This window comes from Homo sapiens, chromosome 8 (genome assembly GCF_000001405.40).
Source record: "Homo sapiens chromosome 8, GRCh38.p14 Primary Assembly".
NCBI lineage: Eukaryota > Metazoa > Chordata > Mammalia > Primates > Hominidae > Homo > Homo sapiens.
This window is the reverse complement of record NC_000008.11, coordinates 101,459,089-101,484,139: the sequence shown is the minus strand read 5'-3', so window position 1 is coordinate 101,484,139 and position 25,051 is coordinate 101,459,089. Positions and strand designations below refer to the sequence as shown.

General features: G+C 42.4%; 1 long non-coding RNA gene across 3 annotated transcripts in view, besides 2 other annotated features; it reads left to right on the top strand.

Annotated features, from left to right (window-relative positions):
- GRHL2-DT (GRHL2 divergent transcript) overlaps nucleotides 1-23,182 on the top strand; it is a 31,748-nt gene extending 8,566 nt beyond the window's left edge. Inside the window, exon 2 of one of the 3 annotated variants that reach the window (NR_186782.1) lies at nucleotides 22,523-23,182. This is a non-coding gene — a long non-coding RNA (GRHL2 divergent transcript). Of the gene's footprint in view, nucleotides 1-6,936; nucleotides 9,463-22,522 lie in introns of those variants that run through there. The other 2 variants (NR_186785.1, NR_186786.1) reach the window with 2 other exon arrangements.
- Nucleotides 23,165-23,459: a silencer, noted in NCBI's record as "tiled region #9085; K562 Repressive non-DNase unmatched - State 22:ReprW". NCBI's record gives its function as "represses a minimal TATA promoter and a strong SV40 promoter by Sharpr-MPRA in K562 cells {active_cell/tissue: K562}" and the evidence as "EXISTENCE:reporter gene assay evidence [ECO:0000049][PMID:27701403]".
- Nucleotides 23,612-24,112: an enhancer, noted in NCBI's record as "OCT4-NANOG-H3K4me1 hESC enhancer chr8:102472256-102472756 (GRCh37/hg19 assembly coordinates)". NCBI's record gives its function as "activates a minimal SCP1, AML or CMV promoter by ChIP-STARR-seq in naive H9 embryonic stem cells {active_cell/tissue: H9 hESC(naive)}" and the evidence as "EXISTENCE:reporter gene assay evidence [ECO:0000049][PMID:30033119]".

Below are 25,051 nucleotides of genomic sequence, written 5' to 3'. Positions count from 1 at the left end.
TGGCTCACCCCTGTAATCCCAGCACTTTGGGAGGCCGACGTGGGCAGATCACTTGAGGCCAGGAGTTCGAGGCCAGCGTGGCCAACATGGCAAAACCCCATCTGTACAAAATATACAAAATGTAGCTGGGCGTGGTAGCAGGCCCCTGCAATCCAGCTACTTGGGAGGCTGAGGCAGAAGAATTGTTTGAATCCAGGAGGCGGAGGTTGCAGTGAGCCCAGATCGTACCACTGCACTCCAGCCTGGGTGACAGAGTGAGACTCTGTCTCAAAAAACTAAAAATGAAGGCCGGGCGTGGTGGCTCACACCAGTAATCCCAGCACTTTGGGAGGCCGAGGCGGGCAGATCACCTGAAGTCAGGAGTTCTAGACCAGCCTGACCAACATGGAGAAACCCCGTCTTTACTAAAAACACAAAAAATTAGCCAGGCGTGGTGGCGCATGCCTGTAATCCCAGCTACTTGGGAGGCTGAAGCAGGAGAATCGCTTGAACCCGGGAGGCGGAGATTGTGGTGAGCCGAAATCACGCCATCATACTCCAGCCTAGGCAACAAGAGCAAAACACGGTCTCAAAATAAATAAATAAATAAATAAATAAATAAATAAATGCAACAAAAACAAATATCAGAGAGTCAAAAGAGCTTCTGAACATTAAAAATAGGAAAGCTGAAATAGAGTCTTTAATGGAATGTTTAAAGACAGGATCTAGGAAATCTCCCAGAAAGTAGAACAAAAAGACAGCAAAATGGACAATAAAAAGAAAAGAAAAGTGTACAGTCAATTAAGAAACAATAATATGTGGCTAACAGATGTTTCAGAAAGAGTAGAAAAAAATAATGGGAGAAAATTATTAAAGAAAAGATAAAATATGATTTTTAAGAACTAAATAAAGCATTATGTTTCTTATTGATAGGACCCCCTTAATGCTCAGCCCAGTGAATTCTGAAAGGCATAAATTGAAGTGATTATTAAACTTCTTGACTGAACTTTCCAGAGAGTGAAAATAAAATGAAGTAAGCAAAGAAAAACTGCTTGCACATGAAGGGTCAAGAATCAGAATATATTAGACTTTTTAGCAATACTGCCAGCTTGAAGAGATTAGAAAAATGCCTTTAAATACTGGATTCTATGCCTAAACAAGTTATCAGTGAAGTATAAAAGTAGAATAAAATTTAATTTCAGAAGCACAAGGTGTCAAAAATTGCCTGTCATGCACTCTTTCTCAGAAAGGTGTTGGATGATATCCTTCATTAAAACATGGGAAAACACCAAAAAAAGGAATAGTCTTAAGACTCAGAAAACAGGGTAGCCAACGGAAAAAGAGGAAGGGCCGGGCATAGTGGCTCATGCCTGTAATCCCAGCACTTTGGGATGCCAAAGTGGGTGGATCACTTGAGGCCAAGAGTTTGAGGCTGCATCTTGAAACTGGTGAAACCCCATCTCTGTTAACCAGGTGTGGTGGTGCACCCCTATAATCCCAGCTACTTGGGAGGCTGAGGCATGAGAATCACTTGAACACAGGAGGCAGAGGCTGCAGTGAGCTGAGATTGTGCCACTGCACTCCAGCCTGCACAACAGAGTGAGACCCTGTCTCAAAAAAAAAAAAAAAAAAAAAGGAAAGTCAGAGAACGACGGCTTTGTAGCCAGCTTAGAGAGTAACTAAACTTCTCCTTTAACAGAGGTCTCTGGATGAAATAGAGGGGGAGAATCCAACTACTAAATTTAAGATTGTAGGAAATTATATTGATAGTCTTTGTGAGTACAGAAAATATTATCAATAGGTACAGGGAAAATGAAGGAGATATTTAGCATTCAGTAGCTCCAGGAAAAAAAAAAAGTACAAGAATGGAAATATAATCATATTAATCTTAATACATACTTGGCTCAACTGAATAATATTCATATGGTCATAGTAATAGAATTACTGAATGATAATTTGCTAAAATTGGTGATAAAACTCAATTGGAAAGGTAAAGGGAGAAAGGTACTGAAGTTGTATGGATAAAAAGGAAGTGGAGGGTTGTGGAAGAGTTAAACCAGCTGCCATAGTAGTAAGTCCATAGTTGCTGCCTGCAATTTAAAAATCATGAAGTAGCAGCATTAGTGTTAGTTAGGAATGTGTTGGGCTGCTAGTAAATCAAGGCTAAGAGTTTTTTAGGAAAAATATAATTTAGTTTTTCTCACTTGAATAAATGATGGTCTCAAAGTTAGCAACACTGGCTTCAGAACTGATGTTCAGTGATGTCAATTCTGGTATCTCCAAGATTCTCTTGGCCTTTTCCCTATGGGCAAAAGATAATCCCTTCAACTGTAACCATTACATCTGTGTTTAAGGCAGCAAGAAGGAGGGAGGAGTGATGCTAGCCTCAGCTATGGTATTCATTAAAAAAAAGCAATACCAGCATTGATATTAGAAGCTTCCAACATATCTTCATCTGATGTCCCATTGGCCAGGACTGGATCACACAGTCACCCCTATCTGCAAGAGTGGCTGGAAGAGTGGATATCAAGCTTTTCCAAGCCCTAAGGCAGGCAAGAAAGAAGGAATTGGAAATGTGTTCTGGGTTAGCAAATCAGCATATTATTTGGAAATGCAGGAGTAAATGTTAGAATTTTTAAGAGAAAGTTCAAATGATGAAAAAGAATTGCTGCCAAGCACAGTGGCTCACGCCTGTCATCCCAGCACTTTGGGAGGCCAAGGTGGAAGGATTGCTTGAGCCCAGAAGTTCAAGACCAGCCTGGGCAACATGGGGAAACCCTGTCTCTACAAAAAAAATACAAACCTTTAGCCAGGCATGGTGACGTGCATCTGTAGTCCCAGGCAAAGGTGGGAGGATTGAAGAAGAAAGAAAGAAAGACAGACAGACAGAAAGAAAGAAAGAAAGAAAGAAAGAAAGAAAGAAAGAAAGAGAGAAAAAGAAAGAAAGAAAGGGAGAAAAAGAAAGAAAGAATTGCCTCTAAGAAGCAGGACTGGCAAATGGATAGGAGTGAGGCATGCATTATAAACAATATTATTTTCAGTATTATTAATCAATGTAATCACTTGACTTTTAAACTACATATATAGTTTTATATACATGTATAGTTTATACACACATATATACATATACACACACTTTTAATCAAGATAAAGTTAATTTAAGAAATTAAAGTACAAATTGCAAACATACCATCCACTCTTTTGCCCATTTACAGATCTGTTTCCTCAAAACTCTTACTTTCTTCCCTCCTTCATCCAACTAGCTCCCAACCTTCCTTCACGTCAGTGTTCAATCATCTCTTCCTCAGGGAAACTTCTTTGACTCTCCCGATGAGAGATAGGTATTTTGGAAAGATACATCTCTCCATAATTTATGTATGGAGCAACATCTTTCTTCTTGAATTACAGTTGTAATTTAACATTTACTTGTGTGGTCTTTGATCACCAACCATCTCCCACCATTAGACTCTAAGCTCCATGAAGGCAACTAACATGCCTATTATTGGTTCACCATCATCTCCCCAGTGCATAGCTGGCAGGTAGTAAATATCTGATGAATGAATAAGTGACAAACACTCTCAATTACAAGTACCCTTCCCATTCTACAACTAGTCCATGGTTGGGGAACTTCAACTGAGTGAGGCATCACATTGAGCACCTTCATCAACATTGTCGAGCAGATAAATTCCAGAAACGTTTATGGAGCCTCTGCTATACTCCAGGTGAACTGGTTTCCTCATTTAAATCTCAACAGTACTCTATTAGATGGTAATTATAAGGGTTAAGGATGCTTTCTACAGCAAACCAAAGAGCAGCCAGCTAGCAGGGCTAGTAGGACCTTTGCCAAGACTGTTTAACTTCTCTTGCACGGTAAGAGATCTGGAGCCTGGGACAGAGGGAGGCAATTGCTGACATTAGATCAACAACTCCATAATTCACAGCTCTGAATCAGTGTTTTTGCACTAGTCTACTGTTCATGGTAGAAAATATCATGTCCTTGCATAGTCAAATTTAAAGGCATAAAGAAGGTAGACAGTGCAGGATGAACATTTTACCCGGAAGCGCTCATCAGACTTCCGCTTGTATCTCATTGGCCAGAATTGGGTCACATGACAAGAATGGTTCAGGAGCTGGAAGCACTGTCCATGAGATAAAAAAAATCTCCACCCAATAGTTGAACAAATCAGGGTTATCTTAGCAAGAAAGAAGTGAGAGACAGGTGTTTAACAGGGCCAGGCATGGTGGCTCACGCCTGTAATCCCAGCACCCTGGGAGGTCGAGGTGGGTGGATCACTTGAGGTCAGTAGTTCGAGACGAGCCTGGTCAATGTGGTGAAACCCCATTTCTACTAAAAATACAAAAAATTAGTCAGGTGCTCATGCCTGTAGTCCCAGCTACTTAGGAGGTTGAGGCAGGGAGAATCACTTGAACCCTGGAGGCAGAGGTTGCAGTGAGCTGAGATCACACCACTGCACTCCAGCCTGGGTGACAGAGTGAGACTCCATCTCAAAAAACAAAACAAAAACAAAAGCAAACCAACAGCAGCTGAGCACAGTCTGTAATCCCAGCACTTTGGGAGGCCAAGGTGGGAGGATCACCTGAGGCCAGGAGTTTGAAACCATCATGAGCAACACAGCGAGACCTCTGTTTCTACTAAAAATAAATTTAAAAAAAATTAGCCGGGCATGGTGATGCATGCCTATAATCCCAGCTACCCAGGAGGCTGAGGAGGGAGGATTGCTTGAGCTCTGCAGTGAGCTGTGATCACACCATTGCACTCTAGTCTGGGCAACATAGCAAGACCCCACCTCAAAAAATTATGTATAATAAAATGAAATAATGTTTACAAACCCAACAGTGATACCACAATATTAATAGTTTCATAGTACAGATAATAAATGTGACTTTCACTTTGGATAATGTAAGTAGCAGAGCTACAATTCAAATCTAGATCTGCCCTTTTTCTTTTTTTTTTTTTTTTTTTCTGAGACGGAGTCTCGCTCTGTTGCCCAGGCTGGAGTGCAGTGGTGCGATCTCGGCTCACTGCAAGCTCTGCCTCCCAGGTTCACGCCATTCTGCTGCCTCAGCTTCCCGAGTAGCTGGGACTACAGGCACCCGCCACCACACCCAGCTAATTTTTTTGTATTTTTAGTAGGGGTTTCACCGTGTTAGCCAGGATGGTCTAGATCTCCTGACCTCGTGATCCACCCACCTCGGCCTCCCAAAGTGCTGGGATCACAGGCGTGAGCCGCCGCGCCCAGCCTAGATCTGCCCTTTTTCAAAGCCTATACCACACCACCTCCTAGACTTGAATATGAAGTTGTTCCTGTTCCTGTATACAGATGTGGTAGATTGAGTCAGGAATGGCTTCAGAGAGGAAAAATACTTGAGGAAAGGTCTTGAAGGAAATAACACAAACTGGGTAGATGCAGAGAATGAGAGGGTGGTTGTGGGAGGTTGTATTAATAATAGCACCCTCTTGACTTTCACTCTGCGCAAAAATGTTTTTTATGTAACCTATTGATCATCAGAGCATCTCTCTCTATTTTGGGGATTATTATTATTGCTTTGATGGGCTAAATGAGCTATAAATAAACTGAGATAACATTTATCCAAGGGAAAATGCCAAAATGAGAACCCAGAGACCATGGCTGGGGCCACAGCAGAACAGAATGCTCCCTCTGAGATTTTTAATGAAATATGCTTATTGTTGATGCCTCAACATCTTGGAAATGTCTCAAACTGGAAAAACATATTCAAATAACCTATTATCATGAAACTTCCTCCACCCTATTTGAAAACCTTCAGCAATTCCTCAGTACACATGTGGCAACCTAACATACCAGTTGCAACCTTCCTCTAACCCCAATTGCCTGAACCCATCCCCAGCGGTCTTCCACATAAGAAGAATCGAGGTGGGTGTAGCCTTATATGAGGTCTGCAGAGCTACAGACTGAAGAGAATCATTCTTGTCCAAGCCTTGGGACCCCTTCCCAACCCTTGCCCCAGTCACAAATTTGACCACCTAAGCCATGTCTAAACATTTGGAGAGCAGGTCAAAAATACCAGAAAGGACATTTGGAGGGAAAACTTAAGGAGGCTGAAAAGAGACATCAAAACAGAACCAGGCCAGCCTGGGCTGCAGTGAGCTGTGATCACACCACGGCACTCCAGCCTGGGTAATGGAGGGAGATACGGTCAAAAAAAAAAAAAAAAAAAGAAAAGAAAAGAAAGAAGAAGAAGAGGAAGAAGAAGAGGAAGAAGAGGAGGAGGAGGAGGAAGAAGAAGAAGCAGAAGGAAGAGGAGGAGGAGGAGGAGGAAGAGGAAGAGAAGGAGAAAAGAAAAGAAAAAAGAAAACTGGACCAGGAATCTAGGATCTCAAGCCAAGAGATGTGAATGAGTGAAAACCAAATGGGAGCATAAGATTCAGACAGTGAAAAACCTAGGACAATCATCTGCAGCATTTGCTGATGGGATAATTTGCTTTTATTGTCTGACCTGGTCTTAGCACGGCCCCTCCCTCCCCTGCATAAGGTGGTGTCAGCTCTTCCTACATGGTCCTGGCAAAAAGCCCTGACATTTCTCAGGGTACTACAGAGATATTAGACAGGCCTCTGTGACAGTTTCTGGTTCATGCCCTTCTCAGTATACTAGGTTTTGGAGACAACCAGAGCACGGTACATTCCCACTGTACTTTGTCTATCTCTAGTTGCAGAGATCTGGGCAGAGATATTTGTGGGGTGGGGAGTAGGACATGGCTAGATCTAGGTGTTCCAGCCCAGTTGGTGGGGGGGGTCTTGTCATGTGTTCGGGCATTAGCAGCAGAAGACAAGTGAAGGAGGCATCTGAGGCCATGACTGGTCCCACGTAGTAGATTTCCAGGTTGGGAGACAGCAAATTTGCCAGGAAGAGAGCCCTACAGTGTTACCTAATTCAGGTGTCCTCTCTAATTCTTAGGCAGTTGGCCTTTCAGTCATGAGGGAGGATCTCTCAGAGTGACCTACAGCTCCTTCTGTCTCCTGCCTGGATGTCAGATGTTAGAGACGCACTAAAGGCTTGCTACTTAGAGTGCAGCAGCAGACCAGTTTGCTGTTGGAATAACCTGGTAGCTGGCTAGAAGTACAGAATCTCAGGCTGCACCTCAGACCTCCTGAATCAAACTTGCAGTTTCACAAGATTTGTATGGACATTAGAGTTTGAGAAACACTTGTCTAAGGCTTGGAGATACAGCCATGAGTGGAAGCTGTAGCTTCTGGGGATTCAGGGCAAAGAATGACATGAATTTTTGTAGGTAAATTGTGACCAATGGACCAAGTGTATCGTTGTATCAGAGATTACTCTTCAAAAATCAGCCGTGATTATCAATGAATGAAATTAATATGGCGAAGTGTTGATGGGAAACTTTAGAATGAGCTATGAGTTGGTCACCACCTAAACCCGTTGATCAATCTTAACATCACCAGACCTGATGGGCCTCCTGAAGGACCAACATGGCCAAGCCCATGGCATTACCTTTGAGGTGTTCTTGTCTGAAAAGTAAGATGAATTGAATCAAGCCTCTAGAGCTAATGCCTACAGGAAATAAGGGAGATAAGAAAACAAGTTGAATGGCACTCCAAAGAGCCAAGGGAAAACAATCTCCAATGTTGGGAAGCCTACAGGCAGCAGAGTTAGTTACTGCAACAAGTCAGTGGCATGGGGGAAAATATGTGAAGGTTGGAGAGGGGAAGAACCTACATTAAAATGGATTTAAAAGGCAAAGAACTAAATGTAATCTGTGGACCTGGTTTGGATCTTGATTTAGACAATTAACAACCACCTGGTGCTTGGCTCACTGGTTGCTCGTCCCAGCACTAAGGGCCAAGAATAAAAGGACATCAATTTACCTTTCTCAATCTTACTCCCCAATATTCCCCTTCACTGATTCTGTGCACCAGTTGAACTGCTCTGCTCTGCACATTAAATATTGCATTTTTCAGCTGTTTTTGTTTGTTTGTTTGTTTGTTTTGAGACAGAGTCTTTCTTTGTCACCCAGGCTGGAGTGCAGTGGAACCATCTCAGCTCCCTGTAACCTCCACCTTTCAGGTTCAAGAAGTTCTTGTGCCTCAGCCTCCTGAGTAGCTGAGATTACAAACGTGCACCACCACACCCAGTATTTTTAGTAGAGATGGGTTTCACCATGTTGGCCAAGCTGGTCTCAAACTCCTGGCCTCATGTAATTTGCCCACCTCGGCCTCCAAAAGTGCCGGGATTACAGGCGTGAGCCTCCACGCCCCACCAAAAGTAACAATTTTAAGAGTTCTGTATGTATTTGTAACTAAGTAAGCATTTTATTTCTTTTTAACTGTATTTATTTATTTATTTATTTTGAAACAGAGTCCACTCTTGTTGCCCAGGCTGCAGTGCAATGGCGTGATCTCGGCTCACTGCAACCTCCACCTTCTGGTTTCAAGCAATTCTCCTGCCTTAGCCTCCCGAGTAACTGGGATTACAGGCGTCCATCACCACGCACCACTCATTTTTTTTTTGTATTTTTAGTAGAGACGGGGTTTCACCATATTGGCCAGGCTGGTCTCAAACTCCTGACCTCATGATCCACGTGCCTCGGCCTCCCAAAGTGCTGGGATTATAGGCGTGAGCCACTGTGCTCCGCCTAAGTAAGCATTTTTAAAATGAAACAATGGTATGTTTGTTGTCTGTTGCTGTGTAACAAACTATCCCAAAATTTAGCAGCTTAAAACACAAACACTGAACATACCACATAGTTTCTAAGAGTCAGCAATCCAGGAGCAGCTCAGCCAGGGTTCAAGGTCTCTCATGAACTTATGGTCAAGCTACCAGCAGGGGCTGTGGTCATCTGAAGGTCAGAGGATCGCATGGTTGTTCCACAGACTGTTGGGCACGCTTTAATTATAGGCCTTGTGAAGCTCTCCACATCGATGTCTGAATATCCTCACGACATACAAAAGCTGGTTTCCCCTAAAGCAAGTGACAGAGAGAAAGAGAGAGACAGAAACAGAAGTCACAGCATCTTTCATAACCTGATTTTGGAAGTGAAAAACTATTCTTTCTGCTGTTTCCTATTGTTCATATAGACCAATCTTGGTGCAGTGTAAGAAAAAAATGTACGAGAGACACAGAATCTTCAGGGGCTGTCTTAAAGACTGCCTACCCAATATGGGTAGTTTCCAAAGCTTAAAAAAAAAACTTGTTTTAAATACACCTTATTCAAACAAGATGCTTATAAAAATAAAATAGGTGTGAGGATATTGTGTAATATGTAGCTAAGTATGCATCCTGTTAGAACGTCAAATCAGTCTTAACAGGAGAGCTTAAAGTGTTTCATAGGTCTTTTATTTTGGATTTTTTTTCCTTTTTTTAATCTTTTCCTTTTATTTTTATTAGTGCATGCTACTTCGAACAAGATATTTGGTATGCTTTAATGATTATATGTTTCCATAATAAATGCAATCCTTTCTTGTTTTTCCTGGCTGCTCTATTTTCATCCAAGGCATTTTGCCTTTTTGGTTAAATCGATTGTGTCCTTGTCTCAGCTGTCTAGCTGTGTCCTTCAGCTGGTAGGAATTTACCAATTTACCAATCTACAGAATCTCAACTGAGTCTGAAATTCTCTGGTTTAAAAAATAGAATCAGCGAGAACAGGCAGATTAGGAGGGAGAGAAAGAACAGCCTGAGAGTAAAATTCTCCAGTGAGTCACCAGCTGCCTGAGTTGCCCCAGGCAAAATGCAAAATGGGTCCTTAGCCAGGATCTGCCCACTGTCCCCACCCGCTCCGTTCCCTGCTGCAGGCATCTCAGCTCTTTGAAAGGAAGACAGCCTGTCCCTAAGAGGGGCCCCAACCCTCCCTGCCACAGATTTTATGATATAGGCAGCCACCTATGCCAAACAACCTTAGAGGCCCTCTGTTGTCTCTGATAATAGACAAACTAGGCTGGGCGCAGTGGCTCACGCCTGTAATCCCAGCACTTTGAGAGGCCAAGGAGGGCAGATCACCTGAGGTCAGGAGTTCGAGACCAGCCTGACCAACGTGGTGAAACCTTATCTCTACTAAAAATACAAAAATTAGCCAGGCGTGGTGGTGCGTGCCTGTAATCCCAGCTACTCAGGAGGCTGAGGCAGGAGAATCGCTTGAACCCAGGAGGCGGAGGTTGCAGTGAGCCGAGATCATGCCATTGCACTCCAGCCTGGGCGACAGAGCGAGACGCAAGACTCCGTCTCAAAAAAAAAAAAAAAAAAAAAAGACAAACTGGCAGCCTGGGGGTAGGGGAGGGAATAGGGAATTCTGCCCTAAAATGTACTTTGTTGATATCTTTAGTGATTTCTTTTTTTAAAATTGAGACAGTATTTTTAAAATAAAATGTCACTTAAAAGTCTGATTTTATCTTCTTTAAAAAAAAAAACCACATGATCTGACAACACTGGGCCCACATGGCAATAATGGCCTTAAGCAAAGATAGACACCTCCTATTTGCTCCGTCTCTACCACGCTCTGCATCTCCACAATCTTCAGGCTGGGTGTCAGCTGCCATTTAAAATCACTCTTCTACTATTTTTCTAACATTTTTTTCTGAGCTATGTCTTTATCATTAATGGGGAAAAAGGCCACACTAAAAGGATCACCTATTTTAAGAAATTACAAGAGATCCTCTTTCTCTATGAAAATAAAGAAAATTGCTATGTGTTTATTATGTAAAGAATCACTGTATTTAAAGAACACAAATGAACAATTGCCATTTTTAAAACTACATTAAGAGGTAGGATAAATGAAACAACACAGAATGAAAATGTTACCAAACTGAAAGAGGATAGCCACTTCAAGAGTTTGTTTTTACAAGCAAAGTTGCTGCAACAATGTAGTTATAAATTTGATGTCAGGACATTTAAGCCTGTTACAGATGGTGAATTTATAAAAAAAGTATCTATTGACCATAGAAAACAAAATATATCCTCCCCAACCAGCATTGAGAAACAATGTAACTCAGCATGTTGAAGACAGGGCTGGAAAAATTAGAGAAATAGTTTGTTGGAGTCTCCAAGGGGACCCCCAATAAATTGCACTCTTTTTTTCCTACCTATGTTCTAACATGGTGAGAAACAAAATAAAGATTAAAGGTGGAGGCCAAAATGTCAACTACAAAAGACAATTACAAATGTCAAATACAATTGAGAGAGGTACAGTTGAGGTTGTGACTTCATAAGAGAGCAGAATTGAGCCTGCATGTTGAAGTCCAGAATTCCAGTCCCCAACCTGCAAACTGACACTATGTGAGACCAAACCCATAGGCAGATTTTGTTCAAAAGAAGGAAGGAAAGCTGGAAGCCAACATAAGTATGTCCCGTTTCCCTTCCTAAATTTTCAAATCAGACAAGTCCTCTAAAATCACCAGTGATGGGCTGGGTGCGGTGGCTCACGCCTGTAATCTCAGCAATTTTGGAAGCCGAAGTGGGTGCATCATTTGAGGTCAGGAGTTTGAGATCAGCGGGGCCAACATGGTGAAACACCGTCTCTACTAAAAATAAAAAATAAAAATAAAAATAAAAAGCCAGGTGTGGTGGTGGGTGCCTGTAGTCCCAGCTACTCAGGAGGCTGAGGCAGGAGAATCACTTGAACCCAGGAGATGGAGGTTGCAGTGAGCCAAGATCATGCCACTGCACTCCAGCCTGGGTGACAGAGCAAGACTCTGTCTCGAGAAAATAAATAAATAAAATAAAATAAAATTACCAATGATGTGTTATTCTTTGATGAGAGTTCAGATATAAACAATATCCTCTAGTTAGCTTTATGAATGAATGGTGTTAATGAGAATTTAGAGGGAACCTCGGAATTCTTAGACATGGCAACCATGACAGGAAAAGATTTGGCTTTATGACTGTGTATGTCGTGTAAGCCTGCACTGGTAAAACTCTTTAAGTGTGACCGCTGGGGATGTTCCTATGAAGAACACTGTGAATGTCAGACTTGCTTCACATCCTAATCCAAGATGGTAATATGTTCTACATTCATGGAACGTAGAAGTGGAAGCTACTGAATGCAGTATCACATAAAAGCAAAACATGCCCATACTGGAATACCTAATTCTGTAAGTATCTTGGGAGAAGTTACCCTACCTATAAAAACAGAGGTACGTACATTTGCACATATTTGTTTTCTATTATGAAATAGAATTAAAAGAATCTCACCTAGAGAATTCCATGCTAAACTTGGAGTAGCGCAGCATGAAGAATAAGACCTGAGATAGCAACAGGAAAGGTAAAGGAACATTCTGTGGTCCTGCATGAAAGAGGAATGAAATGTCACCTCCTACGGGCAGCCTTACAAGGCCTCTTCTCATCCCTAGAGAATTAGTCATTCTCTAGGTTGGATTCCCATGGCACTTGGGATTTATGCTTTGAAAAAAGCATAAAGTTAAAACTCTGGATTGCAAACACAGAAACCCACTTGGGCTGATCACAATGGCAATACATCATAAGGTATTGTATTGATTCCATGGGACAGGTTGTCCCTGCCCCACAACCCCCCCACCTCACTGCCACCACCACCACCAAGATCACTAATTTAGAAGGGCTGGGCTGATAATTCACTAGGTGCTCACTAAAACAGTGTAATAAATGTATCTGATTTTTCTCCTGGCCGAACGTGGGCAGGGGGTGCTTTGAAGCAAGGTAATTGCATCTTATGCCTTTTTGTATAATTGCATCTTATTCCTTTTTGTATTTTCTGTACCTAGTTTAGTAGCCTACATGTTAGTGAAAGGAATGTATGCAGTAAACTGAATTGATGTTTTTATTGAGTTATTGACTGTAAAAATGCACAGACCCAGGCTGTGCTTTGAGGGCAAAACACAAACTGTGCGTATATGCACATATGCATAGACACACACAAACATATATACACATACTGCTGTGAGCTGTGTCCTTTAGGATTTTTTAATTACAATCAGAGAAAAAAAAATAGCTCTGGCTACTTTAATCAGAAATGGATTTCTTTTCTTTTCTTTTCTTTTCTTTTCTTTCTTTTTTTTTTTTTTTGAGAAGGAGTCTCGCTCTGTCGCCTAGGCTAAAGTGCAGTGGTGCAATCTTGGTTCACTGCAGCCTCTGCCTCCCAAGTAGCTGGGACTACAGATGCCTGTCACCATGCCTGGCTGACTTTTGTATTTTTAGTAGAGACGAGGGTCTCATCATGTTGGTCAGGATGGTCTCGAACTCCTGACTTCAAATGATCCACCCACCTGGGCTTCCCAAATTGCTGGGATTACAGGTGTGAGACACTGCGCCTGGCCAGAAATGGATTTCTATAGAAGTATATGGGCAGCTGACAGAATCAAAGGGGAACCTTTATATCAGGGCTCAGGAGGAACAGGAGCTGGGGCTGTTCCTCTGGCTCTCCATGGGGATGAGTTGATGGTTGGCACAGGGCACTGTCACGCCACTTTCTGCTCCTAGTTCAATACTCAGAGCCCAGGGAGAAGGCATCCAATGGAATAAGGGTAGGGCCCCCACATCAAGACTGGGAAGAGGGAAATTGTCTGGATAGGCAAAGGTAGTGGAGTCTACTGCAGGAGCCACTTCAGACCACTGGGGCAGTTACCGCGATGGAAAGTGAGCTGGCTGCTACCTGTCCCCTTCATTCTGCCTGCTGGAAAGTAGCTCGGAAGCTTCTGATACAGGCACCCAGGAGAGACGGAGATGTCCCTCAGCCTTGGCACCCCACTGCAGCCCCATCTGTGAATGCTGTCTCAATGTTCCCTTCCATCCCACACTTGGAAGTATTTCTGCCTCGGGGTCCTGGACCAACACAGCTTTGGTGGATGGTTTTTCTCTCATTCCTAAACTGCCTCCAGCACTTTTCAAATCAGGAAAACCAAAAGGAAAAGCCAATGGTGGGGTAGGGGAGAGAGGTGGGGCACTTTCCCGGGGGTGGCAGGGGAAGACAAGCTGGTGTTTAGTTAAAGCATTAATCAATGTCATCCACAGATTCCTCAATTAAAAGATCCGGGGTAGACTCAAAAGTGTATGGAACTAGCAGACACCCTTAGGAGTCTCTTCAGTCCTCTAGATTTGGAGATTCTCCAGATGAGTGAGTGATCTTATCTCAAATGGTGGGGAGCTGAAGTCCACACAGTGTTCATTTCCAGATCCTGATTTACTGGGCTGAAGAGAGCATCTGTGATGGCCCATGTGTCTGCCTCAGCCACCTGCCCCAATCCTGCCCACTACCGTCCTGGAACACTGGCCTGTAGTGCCTGGGAAGGGTGTCATTTGATCTGGAATCAGGCAATTGCAATGCCCACTGAGTGCAGAACACTTTTGATTCGAAAAATCTTACCTTGATGGAGTCTTTCTAAAGCATTCAATTTAGTTTGCATAGAAGGAACAATTCTGGCTGGGCATGGTGGTTCAAGCCTGTAATCCCAGCACTCCGGGAGGCCGAGGTGGGTGAATCATTTGAGGTCAGGAGTTCAAGACCAGCCTGGCCAACTTGGTGAAACCCCGTCTCTACTAAAAATACAAAAATTAGACTGGTGTGGTCGTGGGCGCCTATAATCCCATCTACTTAGAAGGCTGAGGCAGGAGAATCGCTTGAACCTGGAAGGCAGAGGTTGCAGTGAGTCAAGATCGTGCCACTGCACTCCAGCCTGGGTGACAGAGTGAGATTCCATCTCTAAATAAATAAATAAACAAGCAAAAGAACAATTCTGTTTGTCTTCACACTCATATTCCTTTAGTTTATGTAATATTCAAGTAAATCACTTACATTATAAGGAGCATAATAGGTCTGGTGGCAAACTCAGCTGAGCTTTGTCATGCATTCCCCTCAACCTGGGAAGCCAAGGTTTCTCCCAGCCATCCTGGCTCCCTGTCTGGGGACAAATTGCCTATTACACAGAAATATTGACAATGGCTGACTCCAGTTTGTAGGTTTATGGGTGATACTTTGGGGTGGTACTATTTTATAGTCTCTAAAATTTCTGTAGGCTTGTATTACTTTTTATAATCAAAGAAAAATGTGTTTTTAAAGACATATTTGCACATTCAAATGTATTTTTGGCATTTATAAGAAATATATCAAAGACAATTTTCAAGGATTTTGCTGATAAGAGACAGAAAAGGAAAAAACAATCAGTTTTTGATGATGGTAGATGGAAGTGGTTTTATAGATTTTTTTGAGTGCCTTTATGTGTTTACCCTTTATTAACCAGACCTCTATTTACAAATGGAAATTGGAGTAAGAATTAACCATTGTAAAAAAAAAACCTCCTTGAGTGGGGCAATCAAGATAGGATTTTTGTTTGTTTGTTTGTTTGTTTGTTTGAGATGGAGTCTTGCTCTGTCACCCAGGCTGGAGTGCAGTGGCGCACTCTCGGCTCACTGCAAGCTCCACCTCCTGGGTTCATGCCATTCTCCTGCCTCAGCTTCCCGAGTAGCTGGGACTACAGGCGCCTGCCACTACTCCCGGCTAATTTTTTGTATTTTTAGTAGAGATGGGGTTTCACCGTGTTAGCCAGGATGGTCTCGATCTCCTGACCTCGTGATCCGCCCACCTTGGCCTCCCAAAGTGCTGGGATTACAGGTATGAGCCACTACGCCCGGCCAAGATAGGATTTTTAAAAGTTACTTTATGGACCAGGCGGAGTGGCTCATGCCTGTAATCCCAGCACTTTGGGAGACAAGGCGGGTGGATCACCTGAGGTCAGGAGTTCGAGACCAGCCTGGCCAACGTGGCGAAACCCCGTCTCTACTAAAACTACAATAATTAGCCGGGCATGGTGGCAGGCACCTGTAGTCCCAGCTACTTGGAAGGCTGAGACAGGAGAATCACTTGAACCTGGGAGGCAGAGGTTGCAGTGAGCAAGATTGTGCCACTGCACTTCAGCCTGGGTGACAGAGAGAGACTCTGACTCAAAAAAATAAATAGATAAAAATAAAAAATAAAGTTACCTTATGTAGCATCATATGTTTTTCCATTTACTAATTTTTTCTACTATAAATGTAATAGAATTCATTTCAATAATCAACATTGAGAGAAAGGATACAACAGTCACTCAATCTAACCACTGAACTGTGACATTTTTGTTTCAAATTATTTTCTCCCCTAAACTTTCAAACCATTGAATGAGTCTTGCCCCATTTTAGCCTCAAAACAATGTTCAAAATAGGCCAGGCAGATGTGATGTTTCCAGTAGGTTCTATGTAAAGACAGCCAGCCTGTCAAAGGGAACGCCCACTGCCTGATTGCTTTGTGCCAGGCGGTTCTTCCAGAGTCAAGCTGGCTGTGTCCAGTGAGGGACACCAGTACCTTGGGAACGCTTAGCACATTCCCCAGAGATAAGGCAATTTTCACTAACCAGACCACTCCATGGATCGCTAGGACAACAAAGAAATATTAAGATCACTTATGTAGATGATTTTTGTTTCTTTATGTGCATGTATTTTTAAATTTCTGATATTTGTTTCATCTCATCTTTCTTTCAGAAATTTTGTATTGATTGTTTTAAGTCCCTGTGTCAGAAATTGATATAACCGTATGAAATAGTTAATCTGGATAGGAACCCTTTGTTAATGACCTGAATACCTGTTTAGCTAAAATTTAACATGATTTTAAAATTGTTTACCTTTCTGTGGTAATACAAAGCAATTGAAAATATGCCAAACATTTCCCCTCTCATCTCTTTAACTATTAAAAAAACCTCTGGATTTGTGGGGATTTTCTTGCTTGTTTTCGTAACATTCTCTGAAATTATTTTCATACCTCAGGGACAATTTTTTTTTCTTTGGGATAACTTTCTGCCACTTTGCTGGGTTTTAGTCCAGAGAAACTTAAGGTTGGAATCCAAACAAAACCTTGTTTACTTTTTCCACACTTCAGGAACTAGAGTAAATTCAGTCCACAGAACCCTAGGGGATGGAAAAGAAAAAAGGGCTTTTCATTGTGCACAGCTGAAATTAGCAAAGAAGGCTTTGTTTACACTGGACATTAACATCCTAATTAAAAGGGTAAGGCAATACATTGATAATGATAGATAATTGCCCTTGAGAGCAGCTATTGATGAGCTCTGGTAATCAAATGTTTGGAGGTATTGAGATGCTAATAGAGTTAAATTCTAGAAGCTGCCCAATTTTTGTGGAAGGAACTTACATTTGGACAGAGTACGTTTTTCTGGCAATCCCCCTTGACGGTGCTTCATCTGGGTTCAGACAGGCAGTATATTCTCTTGGGTGCCTGTCACTTTATTGTTGGCTTCAGGGAAAGAGACAGGGCCCCACAGGTCTCCCTGACCCGGGTTGAGGCTGGTGGCTGTGTCAGGCTGTCCAGTCAGGCAGCGCGCCAGTCAGCCTTCCTCCGTTTGCTGTTTCACCTTTCCAATCCCTCATTTTCACCCATTGGCTCCTAATGTGGGACACTGCTGTGGGCTTTGGTTTTCTACCTCAGTGAGCGTTCAACAGTCTGTTTTGACGCCTTGCTTTTAGAGCCAGGTTTAACAAAGCAAGGCATGGAATCATTTTCCTAGGAAGTCAAGAAAAACAAATCTAATCAAGCTTCCACTGGTAGGTTATTGTTACTATTTCTGCTTTATTTTTATTCACTTATTTTTTGAGACAGAGTCTCGCTCTGTCACCCAGGCTAGAGTGCAGTGGCACAATCACAGCTCACTTTCAGCCTCATCCTCCTGAGCTCAAGCAAGCCTCCCACCTCAGCCTCCCTAGTAGCTGAGACTACAGGTGCAACCACCGTGCCTGGCTAATCTTTGTATTTTTCGTAGAGAAGGGGTTTTGCCATGTTGCCCAGACTAGTCTTGAGCTTCTGGCCTCAAGTGATTCATTCACATCGACCTCCCAAAGTGTTGGAATAACTGGCATGAGCCGCCACATCCGGCTATTTCTGCATTATATTAAAGAAAGCCTTCTTCCTTCCATATTATGTTAGGACATATACAATAGCTGCTATTTAACCACTTTTAAATGTATTTTTTTTAAATTGTGGTAAAAACCACATAACATTTACCATCTTAACCATTTTTAAGCATATGATTTAATGGTATTAAAAACATTCATAATGTTGTGCAACCATCACCACCACCCATCATTATAACGCTTCTCATCTTGTAAAACTGAAACTCTGTACAAATTAAACCATAGCTTCTCATTGTCCTTTCCCCTCAACCCTGACAACCACTACACTAGCTTCTGTCTTCATGATTTTGACTACTCCTCTTCATACAAGTGGAATCATACAGTATTTATCCTTTTGTGACTGGCTGATTTCACTTAGCATAGTGTCCTGAAGTTTCATCCAAGTTATAGCACATGTCAGACTTTTTTTTTCTTAAGGCTGAATACTATTCCATTATATGAAAACACCACATTTTGTTTATTCATTCCTCTGTTGGTAGACACTTGGGTTGCTTCCATGTTTTTGCCAATGTGAATAATGCTGCTGTGAACGTGGGTATATACAGATACATCTTTGAGACTCTGCTTTCAATTCTTTTGAGTATATACCCAGAAGTAGAATGGCTATGGTTATTCTATTTTTAATTTTTTGAGGAACTGTTTTCCACAGTGACTGCACCATTTTACATTCCCACCAACAGTACACAAGAGTTTCTGTTTTTCCGTATCCTTGCCAACATTTGTTATTTTCTGTTTTCTTGATACTAGCCATCCTGATGGGTGTGAGGTGGTATCTCACTATAGTTTTAACTTGCATTTTTCTAATGATTAGTGATGTTGAGCATCTTTTCATTTGCTTATTGGCCATTGGTGTGTCTTCTTTAAAGAAATGTCTGTTCAAGTCCTTTCTCCATTTTTGAATCTGGTTGTTTTTTGTTGTTGTTATTAATTTTTAAGATTTCTGGGTATCAATTCCTTATCAGATATATGATTTGCAAATATTTTCTCCCATTCTGTGGGTTTCTGTTTTACTCTGTTGATAGTGCCTTTTGATGCCCAAAATTTTAAAATTTTTGCGAAGTTCATCTATTTTTTTCTTTTTTTGTCTGTGCCTTTGATGTTGTATCCAAAAAATCTCTGCCCAGTCCAATGTCATGAAGCTATTTTTTTTTTTTTTTTTTTTTTTTTGAGACAGAGTCTCACTCTGTGCCCAGGCTGGAGTGCAGTGGCGTGATCTTAGCTCACTGCAACCTCCACCTCCCAGGTTCAAGTGATTCTCCTGCCTCAGCCTCCCAAGTAGCTGAGACTACAGGTTCCCAGCACCACTCCTGGCTAATTTTTGTTTTGAGATGGAGTCTCACTCTGTCACCCAGGCTGGAGTGCAATAGCGCAATCTCAGCTCACTGCAACTTCTGCCTCCCAGGTTCAAGCGATTCTCCTGCCTCAGCCTCCTGAGTAGCTGGGATTACAGGCGCCCCCCACCATGCCCAGCTAATTTTTGTATTTTTAGTAGAGACGGGATTTCACCATTTTGGTCAGGCTGGTCTCGAACTCCTGACCTCAGGTGATCCACCCACCTCAGCCTCCCAAAGTGCTGGGATTACAGGCGTGAGCCACCGCGCTGGCCTATTTTTGTATTTTTAGTAGAGACGGGGTTTCACCATGTTGGCCACGCTGGCCTCAAACTCTTGATCTCAGGTGATCCACCCACCTTGGCCTCCCAAAGTGCTGGGATTACAAGTGTGAGCCCACTGCACATGGCCTATGAAGCTTTTGCCCTATGTTTTCTTCTAAGAGTTTCATAGTTTTAAGTTCTACATTTAGGTCTCTGAACCATTTTGAAATGACTTTTTTATATGGTGTTAGATGAGTCCAACTTCACTCTTTTGCATGTGGATATGCCACTTTTCCCTGCACCGTCTGTTGAAAAACTGTCCTTTTCCCATTGAATGGGTTTGACACTCTTCTCAAAAATTGTTTGACCATATATACATATAAAGGTTTACTTCTGGGCTCTTTATTTTGTTCCATTGGCCTATATGTTTGTGTTTATGCCAGTACCATACTGTTTTGATTACTGTAACTTTGTACTAAGTTTTGAAATCAGGAAGTGTGAGTCCTTCAGCTTTGTTTTTCTTTTTCAAGATTTTTGACTATTTTAGGTCCCTAGGGATTCCATATGAATTTTAGTATGGGCTTTACTATTTCTGCAATAATTTTACCATTTTTGATTTTTTAAATGTCAGTTTTATGTCATTCAACTTAATAGTTGAACTCTATGGCCTACAATAAAGTGACGTAGGCTAAAGGAGTAGGGAACTGATATTTATTGAAGACAATATATACTAGGCTTGATAACCCACTTACACCTCAAATTACCTCTGGAATATAAACAATGTGAGGGTGAGTATATGGCTCAGCTATTTGCTAAGCAAGTAAATGCTAAGCAGTGGCATAAAATAGACTGGGATATGACAACATCTTCCAGAATGTTTATGAATGTAAGCCCTGCTATATACAAAAACTATATATGAAAAGTGTACCTGATATAGTTAATAATAACTCAATTGTACATTTTTTAGTAACTTAAAGAGTGCAATTGGATTGTTTGTAACTCAAAGGATAAATTATTGAGGGGATGGATACCCCATTCTCCATGATGTGCTTATTTCACACCACATGCCCTGTATCAAAACATCTTATGTACTTCATAAATATATATGCCTACTATGTACCCACAAAAATAAAAAAACTTTAAAAAGTGAGTAAGAAGGTGCCTGGCATGTGTTAGCAGCTCAGTGAATGTTGGGATGGAGAAGTGAAATCACAGGTCTGAAGATAAAGTTGATACATAGTGGAGACAAACACCAGCATTTTTGGTTGAATTCAAAACCCACATTCTTTCCATTTCACTCCCATGGTTGGATTTTATACAAGCTCCAGTCTTGGTAGCCCCAACAGCTCTCTTCCCACAATCCCCAATGTCTACCGCCCGTTCTTAGTCACATGATCAGTGAAGTCTGTGAGGTGGTCATCCCGGGCCTATACCACTGGAGCTGGAGGAAAGGGCAAAGACTAGAGGACTTGCCTCACATGCATAGCCACTGACCTGCTCAGTTTCCTCACCATCCCGACAGCCTGCTGATGGCTGAACTGGAGGCCAGACTGTCAAAACTGTGTGAACCAGAGCAATTCCATCTTGAGTAGAAGCTGGGTAAAATGAGGCTGAGACCTACCGGGCTGCATTCCCAGACCGTTAAGGCATTCTAAGTCACAGGATGACATACAAAGTTGACACAAGATACAGGTCGTAAAGACCTTGCTGATAAAACAGGTTGCAGTAAAGAAGCCGGCTAAAATCCCCCAAATCGAGATGGTGACGAGAGTGGCCTCTGGTCTTCCTCATGGATACACTCTCACCAGTGCCATGACAGTTTACAAATGCCATGGCAACATCAGGAAGTTACCCTATATGGTCTAAATAGGGGAAGCATGAATAATCAGCCCCTTGTTTAGCATATCATCAAGGAATAACCATAAAAATGGGCAACCAGCAGCCCTCGGGGCTGCTCTGTCTATGGAGTAGTAGCCATTCTTTATTCCTTTACTTTTTTTTTTTTTTGACACAGAGTTTTGCTCTTGTTGCCCAGGCTGGAGTGCAATGGCGCAATCTCGGCTCACCACAACCTCCACCTCCCAGATTCAAGTGATTCTCCTGCCTCAGCCTCTCAAGTAGCTGGGATTACAGGCATGCACCACCACGCCCTGCTAATTTTGTATTTTTAGTAGAGACGAGTTTTTCCGTGTTGGTCAGGCTGGTCTCAAACTTCTGACCTCAGGTGATCTGCCTACCTCGGCATCCCAAAGTGCTGGGATTACAGGCATGAGCCACCATGCCCAGCTTTTATTCCTTTATTTCTTCTTTCTTTTTTTTTCTTTTTTTCTTTTTTTTTTTTTTTTTGAGATGGAGTCTCGCTGTGTTGCCCAGGCCGGAGTGCAGTGGCACAATCTCGGCTCACTGCAAACTCGGCCTCCTGGGTTCATGCCATTCTGCCTCAGCCTCCCAAGTAGCTGGGACTACAGGTGCCCGCCACCAAGCCCAGCCAATTTTTTTCTTTTTTTTGTATTTTTAGTAGATACGGGGTTTCACCATGTTAGCCAGGATGGTCTTGATCTCCTGACCTCGTGATCTGCCTGCCTCGGCCTCCCAAAGTGCTGGGATTACAGGCGTGAGCCACCACACCCAGCCTATTCCTTTACTTTCTTAAACTTTCTTTCACTTTACTCTATGGACTCACCCTGAATTCTTTCTTGCTCAAGATCCAAGAACCCTCTTTTGAGGTCTGGATCGGGACCCCTTTCCTGTAACACGACTGTATCCCCTTGGCAGACATATGATTCTGCACCCCCGCTTGGTCTCCAATTTCCAGGGATGAAGAAGGAGGGAAACGAGGGAAAATGCTTACTGAGGCATCTTCTATGAGCAGTCACCATACTAAGCTCTTTACTTACATTGCTTCTTGCACTGTTCACAACAATCCATGATTATCCTCAATTTAGAAATGTGAAAACTGAAGTCACCGATGAAAAGCCACACACTGCATTTTGACTTGGCTGTCTTTCATTCCAGAGCCTTTATGACCGAAGATGGAACTGAAATGCCATCCTGTTATCAAGAAGGAGCATAAGAACAGCTAGAGGAGAGATGCAAGATTGAAATATCATGGAATGGACTATGGTTTATCCTCTCTTCTGGTCGTAAAACACCATCAGGTTGTAATTGTTCAGATCAGAAATTCCCAAGCTTTTAATAAAGCCTTCAGGGAGCCTCATCCAGGGGCAACTGCCCTGTCATTGGGAATAAGTAGAGTGTGTGGGAAATATGTTGTCCTTGGTAAAACCTCCCCTTAGGAAAGAAGGCAAGAGAATTGAGTAAGAGAATGATGGGCCAAAAGGAGAAAATAGAGAAAGAGGCTGCATGCTACAGAGAACAAGAGCAAAATTCAAAAGCCTGGCACAGTTGGGCTTGAAACCATCTGTGTAAAGGGGACTAATAATGCTGACCTCACTGCATCACAAATGACAGAGTTTAAAATGATGGTGTTTTTAAGGGACCTAGCACGTATTAAGAATTTAATACACATTGGTTTTCCTCCCTTCTCCTAGGGATTAGGGAAAGCACATCACTTTGCTTAAATGCGTATAAAAAGGCTTCAGACTGCTTCTTAACAATGAGAATCTTTGACAGTGAATATGCAAGCCAAAAATAAAGAGTGGTTGAGAAACTTTGGCCAGTGGTATCCCTATCTCTGCTTACGATCTGGCTCATCAGGAGGGTTTTCCAACTTGGAAAACAGCAGAGGCTCCTGTTTGCAATGCTCCGTCTCTGACAGGGGTGAGCCTGCCCCTTCCCTGACTCCAGCCCATGCTGGGAACAAAAGGATCTTGGGGAGAAAAGCCCTCCCTCTTGGTGCCCCCTTTGTCATTAGCAGAAGGACCAAACCTTAGAAAGGAAGACTAGAGGTGGAGAGGGTGGGGGGAATAGAAGGTTGTTACAGCTGAGTTTTCCTGTGTGCTATGAAATATGCAAAAAAGAGAGAACCAGGGCCTGTAGAGTAACAATTCATATAGACTCACAGATTTCAGAATCTAAGGTAAGATCGTAATGTGATGTTGTGATCATTTTATTGACATTTTCTCATCAATATCAAGCTGATCCTAGGTACAACTCATTGAGACATTCAATATTCTTAGCACGCACTTTGTTTCTCCTTTAGAAGTATAAGAAGCATTTCAACTATGTTTTCCATGTATAATTGTTTCCCTTGGATCCTGATGCTTTAGTTCCTGTCCATTGTTGTTTGTCAAAGAGCTTTCATTAACTCACAAGGCTTCAGGGAGTTCTGCCTTAGAGTGGGTGTTGAATCCCAACATGTTCTCTGTGTCCTTCAGAGTTGGTGTTAGCCCGTGCCCCTCCTTGCCTGTCCTGCCCATTTGTTCTGCTTTCCCTCTCATGTTACTGAAGGCAAACATCTCAAATGAACCATTTAACCCCCACCCCTACTTTCTTCCAGCTCTGTTGGATCTCGAGGCTTTTAAAAAATTTGACTCATTCAAATGGACTTATTCAAACTGACAAAATGCAGTTTTATACAACTCTAGCCATGAAAACACTATATAAACAGGCTTTAGGTCTTTATCATTCTGCAGAATAATAAAAAAGGAGAACCAAAGTGATTCAAATGGCTGTTTGTTTATTGAGTGCACAGGGTGTTAGGGACCAGGCTTGGGAGACAGCCTTCTGTTTCCTCCCCACTTCATTCCTCTGCTCTGATACATTAGCACTTGCCCTCTGGGCAAGCAGGCTGATTATTTCTGTTGGGAGACTGCCCACATTTTATTTTTTTATAACAACTAAATATATTTCCATTTTAGCTTGGTTTTAACTTAGGGGCCACATGGTGGGCCTGGGAGAGGAATGGCTTTGCATGTTGAGAGAGGGAAGGCCAAGGCCAAGATCAGTGTGGATATCAGGTAGGTCTGCAAGGCTTTACTGGATTAGACAGACACATGCCAATTACTTCCAAAAGCTTGTGTTGCCTCTACCACCCTCACCTTCTGAAACTTAGTGTCTTGTTTATGGAATACCAGGAAGTGGCTGCATGCCATGAAGTGGTTTTTTATTCACAAAAGAGTTCAAGACACCAACAGTCACACTAATTTTTCTTTTATAATTACTTTTATTTTTCAGTAGGTTGAGAAAACACTTAACTAACTTTGTTTTTCTGAGATGCCCAAACCCTACTTAGGAAGGACTACCTATGGAATGAAAAACTGTTCCACAATCACCAACGGACTCCTTGACAAAATAAAGTGTTAGTTTGGCCAAGCAGCAAAAGTATATCACTTTTTTGTTTTTGTTTTTGTTTTTGAGACAAGAGTCTCACTCTGTCACCCAGGCTGGAGTGCAGTGGTGTGATCTCGGCTCACTGCAACCTCCGCCTCCCAGGTTCAAGCGATTCTCCTGCCTTCAGCCTCCTAAGTAGCTGGGATTACAGGCATGCGCCAACACGCCCGGCTAATTTTTGTATTTTTAGTAGAGTTGGTGTTTCGCCATCTTGGTCAGGCTGGTCTCGAACTCCTAACCTCGTGATCCACC